The sequence below is a fragment of the Homo sapiens genome, chromosome 9, assembly GCF_000001405.40.
Source record: "Homo sapiens chromosome 9, GRCh38.p14 Primary Assembly".
Lineage (NCBI taxonomy): Eukaryota > Metazoa > Chordata > Mammalia > Primates > Hominidae > Homo > Homo sapiens.
Window position 1 is genome coordinate 98,929,918 of NC_000009.12, and position 7,070 is coordinate 98,936,987.

General features: G+C 45.3%; 3 annotated features.

Annotated features, from left to right (window-relative positions):
• Positions 2,054-2,566: a transcriptional cis regulatory region, noted in NCBI's record as "candidate enhancer chr9.1708 targeted for multiplex CRISPR interference". NCBI's record gives its function as "positively regulates COL15A1 gene expression with high confidence in K562 cells {active_cell/tissue: K562}" and the evidence as "EXISTENCE:mutant phenotype evidence [ECO:0000015][PMID:30612741]".
• Positions 5,250-5,544: an enhancer, noted in NCBI's record as "tiled region #4619; K562 Activating DNase matched - State 5:Enh". NCBI's record gives its function as "activates a minimal TATA promoter and a strong SV40 promoter by Sharpr-MPRA in K562 cells {active_cell/tissue: K562}" and the evidence as "EXISTENCE:reporter gene assay evidence [ECO:0000049][PMID:27701403]".
• Positions 5,250-5,544: a silencer, noted in NCBI's record as "tiled region #4619; HepG2 Repressive non-DNase unmatched - State 22:ReprW". NCBI's record gives its function as "represses a minimal TATA promoter and a strong SV40 promoter by Sharpr-MPRA in HepG2 cells {active_cell/tissue: HepG2}" and the evidence as "EXISTENCE:reporter gene assay evidence [ECO:0000049][PMID:27701403]".

The window sequence follows — 7,070 nt, forward strand, 5'->3', positions numbered from 1 at the left end:
GAACCAAGTTCCAGCTCCAGCTCTGCCCTTTATCAACCAGCTGACCTTGTGAACGTTTGCTGCTTAACCCCTGAGTCTGTTTCCACACCCCCGGGGCTGTTTTGATAATCATGTGACGTAAGTAGTGAGGGAACTGTAAAGGTCCAGACAGATGTGGGTCAGCGGCATCTTGTTTAGATTGTAAGAACAGAGGCCAGTGCGCACCAAGGTTGTATTTTGTCAGCATTTTGGATGGGAAACCTACGAAATCTCATGAGTCATTAAAAACGGGAGCCCTGGTAGGGCTGGGTTCCTCAGGGCCTGGAGTGATGGGGGTAGGGTTTGAAACGGGGTGGGGTCTGGCTTCTTGGTGACACCAGGCTGCTGGCAGAGGGAATGTGCGGCACCTTACATGAGGGCTCTACATGTGGGAACACTGAGCCACAAAATCCGAGAAGCAGAAAAAGCATAAGCCAAGCTAGGGAGGAATAACCATGGAAGGGTGTGGGGTGGACCACGTTTTCCGAACATGGTGTCTTTAAATCCTTTAACAATAACATGTTGATATGGTGGTTGTTAAGAGCATGGTAAAACTATTAGGAGGAAGCAGTTGGAAAAAGGGATCAGATTAATTTAATTTGTGATGAAGACTTTGACATGGTCAAAGAGCGGCTGGTTCTTCCACCAACCACTGCCACAGGCTCCACCCCTTGAACCTGGCCCAGCCCTCAGCCTCCTGGGCAGCATCTATTCCTGTGCGGTTTCTGTCTCTTTAGGACCCGCATAGCTTGCCTGTGTGGTAGGGAACTTTGCAATGGGTTTGGAGAACCGGGCTGCCCATCTGGCGTAAGGTGCTATGGCTCGATGTTGCTGAGAAATACTCACTTAAGACCTTTTGGCTTAATTGAGGGTCCTCAGCCCCCACTCCCATTGTGGCTAGCTTCATCGTCCACTGTGATGCAAGAGCCTTTGAATGGGTCGGATCCACCCATTCGGGGAAACACAAAACACATGGGCCACCCGCTTCAGAGAGCAGAGCCCTGAAAGAACCACGGCCCTCAGCAATGCACGATTGTTTGTCTCTCTTTGGCCATCTGGTTGTGGGAGACAGAGCAAGTCAGATTTAGCTCGTTAGAAGTCACTGGGGCTTTCACTTTAGCCCTGAGATTTTTTTAGGTCAGGTAGTGTGTGTGAGAGCAGACAAACGATTCCTATGGTGAGTTTCATTCCATATATTTCCACCCTCTCGGGCTGATGAAGAGTTTTGAAATCATCACACCCTAGTATGGGTTGTGGCCTATTTGTGCATCATGAAATCTATTGAACGGGTTTTGATCAGCCTTTTTAAAAAAAATATAACGGAGCACAACAGAGTAGAAAATATCTGAATGCGTTACATGTAGTATGGGCAAATATTGCTACATGAAACCTTTGTTTCAGAAGTGTGTTTTTGAGATTGTGAGACCAAGGGTCTCAGTTAAGAAAGATTAAGAGCCACAATCTGGTAGCATTTCTCAGTGGAGCACAGTTGGTATTTTTGCTGGGCTAGTTCTCTGTTAGGTAGCCTGCCTCTTACATTGCAGAATTTAGCATCCTTGGCCTGCCAAATGCCACTAACATCTGCATTCATTGTGACAAAAGAAACTCCCCATACCCTTATATTTCCAAGTGCCCCCTAGGAATGCTACTGACCTGTGGCAAACTCTTGAGTCTCTAGGCTTGAGGGAAGAGGAAGCCACAACCTGTGGCAGCTCCGAGTGACCACACTTCACAGTCATGTCCAGCAGAGCTGTTTCTAACAGTTGATGGGCAGGAGGCAGTGAGGCAGATAAAGGGGAACAGAGAAAGTCTGTATTTTTTGTCAGCTGTACCACTGGCCACTCTCAAGAGTAAGGTGTGGCCCTGCCATTTGGGAACATGAAGACTTAATCTGTGATGAAACTCCTATCAGGGCCGGGTGCGGTGGCTCATGTCTGTTATCCCAGCACTTTGGGAGGTCAAGATAGGTGGATGGCTTGAGCCCAGGAGTTTGAGATCAACCTGGGCAACATAAGGAGGCTCCATCTCTACAAGAAAATCTAAAAATTAGCTGGGCATGGTGGTGTGTTCCTGTAGTCCCAGCTACTTGGGAGGCTGAGGTGGGAGGATTGCTTAAGCCCCAGCCGTTGAGGCTTTAGTGAGCTGTGATCACCCCACTGCACTCCAACCTGGGTGACAGAGTAAGACCTTGTCTCAGAAAGAAAAAAAAAAAAGCCAAAAAAACTATCTCTTTGGACAGATTTTATGTCCTGCCGTCTCTGGCTTATCTCAAGGACACATTTATCAACCCTCATCCTCCTTGAGACAAAAATAGCAGTTAAATGTAGTGCTTTTTACATTTGCCCCATCCTTCTTTACAGATACTGTGGAAGCGGCAGTCATTGTCTGGTGCACTGATGAGGGAGCTGGGGTAGAATGGAAGGCAAGCAGCCCAAACGTGTGGCGTTTTGCCCACAAACTCTTTGACAGGCCTCCTTGTGTGGTCAAATGGTACCTAGAAGATTCCTTAGTTGTCTTATTTCTTTAAATTAAATAAATTTGTACAGCAGAGCCTCTGGTTGGATTGGGCTTGGGATCAGGTACAAGGTCCCTTCTAGCTCTTGGCTGCTTTCTTTCCGAAATCTTGGATCCTAAAGGCCTTAACTCAACAGAATACATTTTTTTCTTGCTTTTCCAAGGGTGTGGCAAATGGGAAAATCCATCTAAGAGAGGTCTTGGCAGTTTGTCTGAGCTAAAAAGTTCAAATGCATCATCGTAGGAGACAGTATTAAATACTCCAAACAGGCTGGGCGCGGTGGCTCACGCCTGTAATCCCAGCACTTTGTGAGGCTGAGGCGGGCGGATCACCTGAGGTCGGGAGTTCCAGACCAGACTGACCAACCTGGAGAAATCCCGTCTCTACTAAAAATACAAAATTAGCCAGGCGTGGTGGTGCATGCCTGTAATCCCAGCTACTTGGGAGGCTGAGGCAGGAGAATTGCTTGAACCCGGGAGGCGGAGGTTGCAGTGAGCCAAGATCGTGCCATTGCACTCTAGCCTGGGCAACAAGAGCAAAACTCCTCAAAACAAAACAAAACAAAACTCCAAACAGAGCATTAGACTTATGATGTCTCAAACGTTCTGGGGCTACCCCCACGCTGGAATACTATTTCTACCTAATGCAAGAAATTCCAAGATAGAATTCAGGAACCAGGTGCCATGAGAAATAGAAGTGTGAAACTTTAGGTCAATGGCAGTGAAGCTGTAGCGTGCATAAGAAAGACCAGGGAGCTTCTTAAAATTGCAATTCTCGAGCCCGCACCTATAGACATTCTGATTTGATAGGTTTTGTGTAGAGACTAGAAATCTGTACTTTTAACATGCTTTCCACAAAATGATTCTGATGCAGGCGGGCCACAGGTAAAAAACACCAGTCTGAACCGTGGCTGACCAATGTTGTTTGGTGGAGTGACACCCTCTAGGGCAGTGCTTAGCAGAGCATGCAGAGACTTGAAGACACATGATAAACATGGATATGCATTTCCAGTTGTCCTTCTTATTTGTAGTGGTCTTGACCCCGAATGCCTGGGGAAACTGAGCAGGAGGCCCAAAAGGCATAGAAAAGAGCATTGGATAGGAGTCAGGACATTTGGCTCTGGCTTTGCCCTGGATTGACAGTGGCCCTGGGCAATCCCCTTCTTCTCTCTGGGCATGAGTGGAAGCTAGGCTTGAAGATCTCTGAGCACGCTTTTAGATCTGATATTCTTATATTCTTTTTTTTTTTTTTTCAACCTCCGCCTCCCAGATTCAAGCGATTCTCATGCCTCAGCCTCCTGAGTAGCTGGGATTACAGGCACACACCACCATGCCTGGCTAATTTTTGTATTTTGTAATAGAGATGGGGTTTCACCATGTTGGCCAGGCTGGTCGAACTCCTGACCTCAAGTGATCTGCCCACCTTGACCTCCCAAAGTGCTGGGATTACAGGTGTAAGCCAACGTGCCTGGCCTAGATCTGATATTCTATGACTGTATATCTGGGCCTTTTATTTGTATTAGACAGATATTTGTATTATTTAATGCTAATAAACATTATTATTTATTATTATTTAATTTATTATTATTTAATAAATTTATTATTTTATTATTAATTAAAAATAATTGGCCTCTTATTAAAAATAAATGGCCTCTATTATTTAAAATAATAATAAAATAATAAAATTATTATTAAATAATAATAAAATAATAAATTTATTATTAAATAATAATAAAATTAAAAAATGTTTAGTGACATGTTAAATGCCAGAGTCATTTAATTTCACACATTCAACAATTTTCTATCGTTATTACTATTTTTTAATTCATGAAACTTGAGGCACAGAGACTGAGCCATTTGCTGTGTTGCCCAGGCTGGTTCTGAACTCCTGGGCTCAAGTGATCCTCCCATCTCGGCCTCCCATCACTTATTTTCTTTTTTTCTTTTTCTTTCTTTTTTTTTTTTTTTTTGAGATGGAGTCTTGCTCTATCGCCCAGGAGGGAGTGCAGTGGTGCGATCTAGGCTCACTGCAAGCTCCGCCTCCTGGATTCACGTCATTCTCCTGCCTCAGCCTCCCGAGTAGCTGGGACTACAGGCGCCCGCCACCACTCCAGGCTAATTTTTTTGTATTTTTAGTAGAGACGGGGTTTCACCGTGTTAGCCAGGATGGTCTTGATCTCCTGACCTCGTGATCTGCCCGCCTCGTCCTCCCAAAGTGCTGAGATTATAGGCGTGAGCCACCGCACCCGGCCCCATCACTTATTTTCTAAGAAGAGGGGTACAGCTCCAGCTGGTAAAGAACAGTCTCTGGATTTAAACCCCTGTTGTCTGATTTTGGATACTTTATATTGCTCATTTGTCAGATGTTGGATGGGGACTTCTTTGTCCCTTGGGAATGGCCTCTATCTCCCCCTATTCTGTGGTTTTTGGAAGCCCACAGCCATTTTCAATATTTAAGCACATTCCCAGAAAGCTTATCTTCTTATGTTCACCTCTGATGCTGAGCTCTTGTTTCTAAGTTCTGGTTATAACTCATCACAGCATCCCATGTGTGCAAACTTTGTTCTGTTCTATTGACCAAGACGTTGTATTAATGTCTCAGTTGATATCCACAAAAGTCCATTTTTATAAAGCATTCGTGTGTCGGGCAAACTTGAGTGAAGGCTGTTGTGGTTGCTGGGGGAAGGGTCATTGCAGGAGGGCTTTCCATTTGCTGGAATGCAAACAGCTGCAAACCAAGCATTAGACTTAGGATTTTGCAAATGTTCTGGGGGCACCCCCATGCTGGAAATATTTCACTGGCTGCTTCATCACACAGAACTTCTGGCCTCACACTATCTTGATGGTGCTTATCAGCTCTTGCCACTCTGCCTTTAGCTGGGTTTCCCAAAATGCAGAGCCTGAGGCAAAGACTTCTGTGCCAATTTATGAAGTTCAGTTCCAGGAAAGAGGGAGGGGGAAAAGAAGCAGGGAAGAAGTAAGAGCAAATAACAGGTCTTATATATAGATGAGTCCTCAGTCTTGTGGGACGTTTTTTTGAGAAGCTGCTGCTCAGGGTGGCTGATGTGTGATAGGGAGGGAGAAATAGTCATCCACTGGTTTCCATCTCTCATTGTTCAGAAGCTGGCCACATATTATTTCCTTCGCATTTCCAAGTTGCTTATGTGTGGGCACTAAATGAACCCTACAGCATCTCATGTCTCAGGATTAATATAGAAGTCCCTAAGTATGAGGTGAGAGTTATACACTTTGTGCAAAAATGAAGGCACTGCCAGTTTTACCCGTAATTGATTGGAGTCCCTGGTGAGTTGATCTCTGCAGCAATGGCTGTGGCTGGAATGAATGACCACTTGGAGGCAGGAAATTCAGAGAATTTGAAATGGTGCATTAGAGATGTGTGGCGTAGTTTACTCCCTGCACTGCTTAGGTTTGCCTTCCCAATAGATCTAGCTCCTATGCTATCATATAGGACCTTCAATTTTGAAAGAATATGATGTTCTCACTTATTTTCTTTGTGTGTGTGTGGTGGGGAGGAGTTGGGGGCAGGGTCTTGCCATGTTGCCCAGGCTGGTTTTGAACTCCTGGGCTCAAGTGATCCCATCTTGGCCTCCTATCACTTATTTTCTAAGAAGAGGGGTACGAGTCCAGTCAGTCACAGAATCCCTTTCAAGATCATAACCAACTTAGATCTCTGAGAAGATTTTAGCCAGGAGAGTGAAACAAGCCAAAGTCCCCTCAGCTGTAGCTAGTGCCATATCCCTCCTCCCCCACCCAGTCTGATTTCCTTTATTCTCAGTCCATACTTTGGATGATCTGGCTTGCTAGCCTAGTGAGGTGACCTAGACCTTTATCCTTTAAGGGTCTGACCTCTCAGCTGCCTTGATTGCTTCATGTGCCCATTTGCTATCATTACAGGATATGCATGTACCAAGAAATACACCAGGACATTCCCTGGATTGTAAATATATCTTCTCTGCCCCATAAAGTAGCTGCTACTGTGGCTCCCGGTGGCCATCAGGGCTCAATAGCCCCACTTATGCAGTCACTCTTTTTTTGCCTGCTTGCCCACTGGCATGAGGAGCTCAAGGTGACCAGATAGTGGTCACAACTTCAAGTTAGTGGCCTTATTGTATCTTTTGGAGGAGTTCTGCTGAACACTAGCACCTCTACCCCACCAGAGCTTAGTTTCAGTGGATCACTGGGAGAGGAAAAGGACTGAATTCCACCACTACTCCTTGGTTTCCAGACCCAAGTATTCTAGTTTTTGGAGACACAGCAACATGTATTGGCCATTAATTCAGTGACTTTCCCAACCACATTCTGGAGGAGAGTCCTACAGCTCAGCACCAGGTGGTCCCTAAGCTGGTGCCTTAGCTGAGCCTTTAACAGGCCTTCCCACCATTGTATTAATCTAGATGTTTCTGGGGTATGTGCTACATGATCAAGTCAATGGAGTCCTTGATCATTCACTCATTGTCACACTGCTTTTACCATAAAATGAGTCCCTTCATTTGAAGCAATGTTGTGCAGACAACATG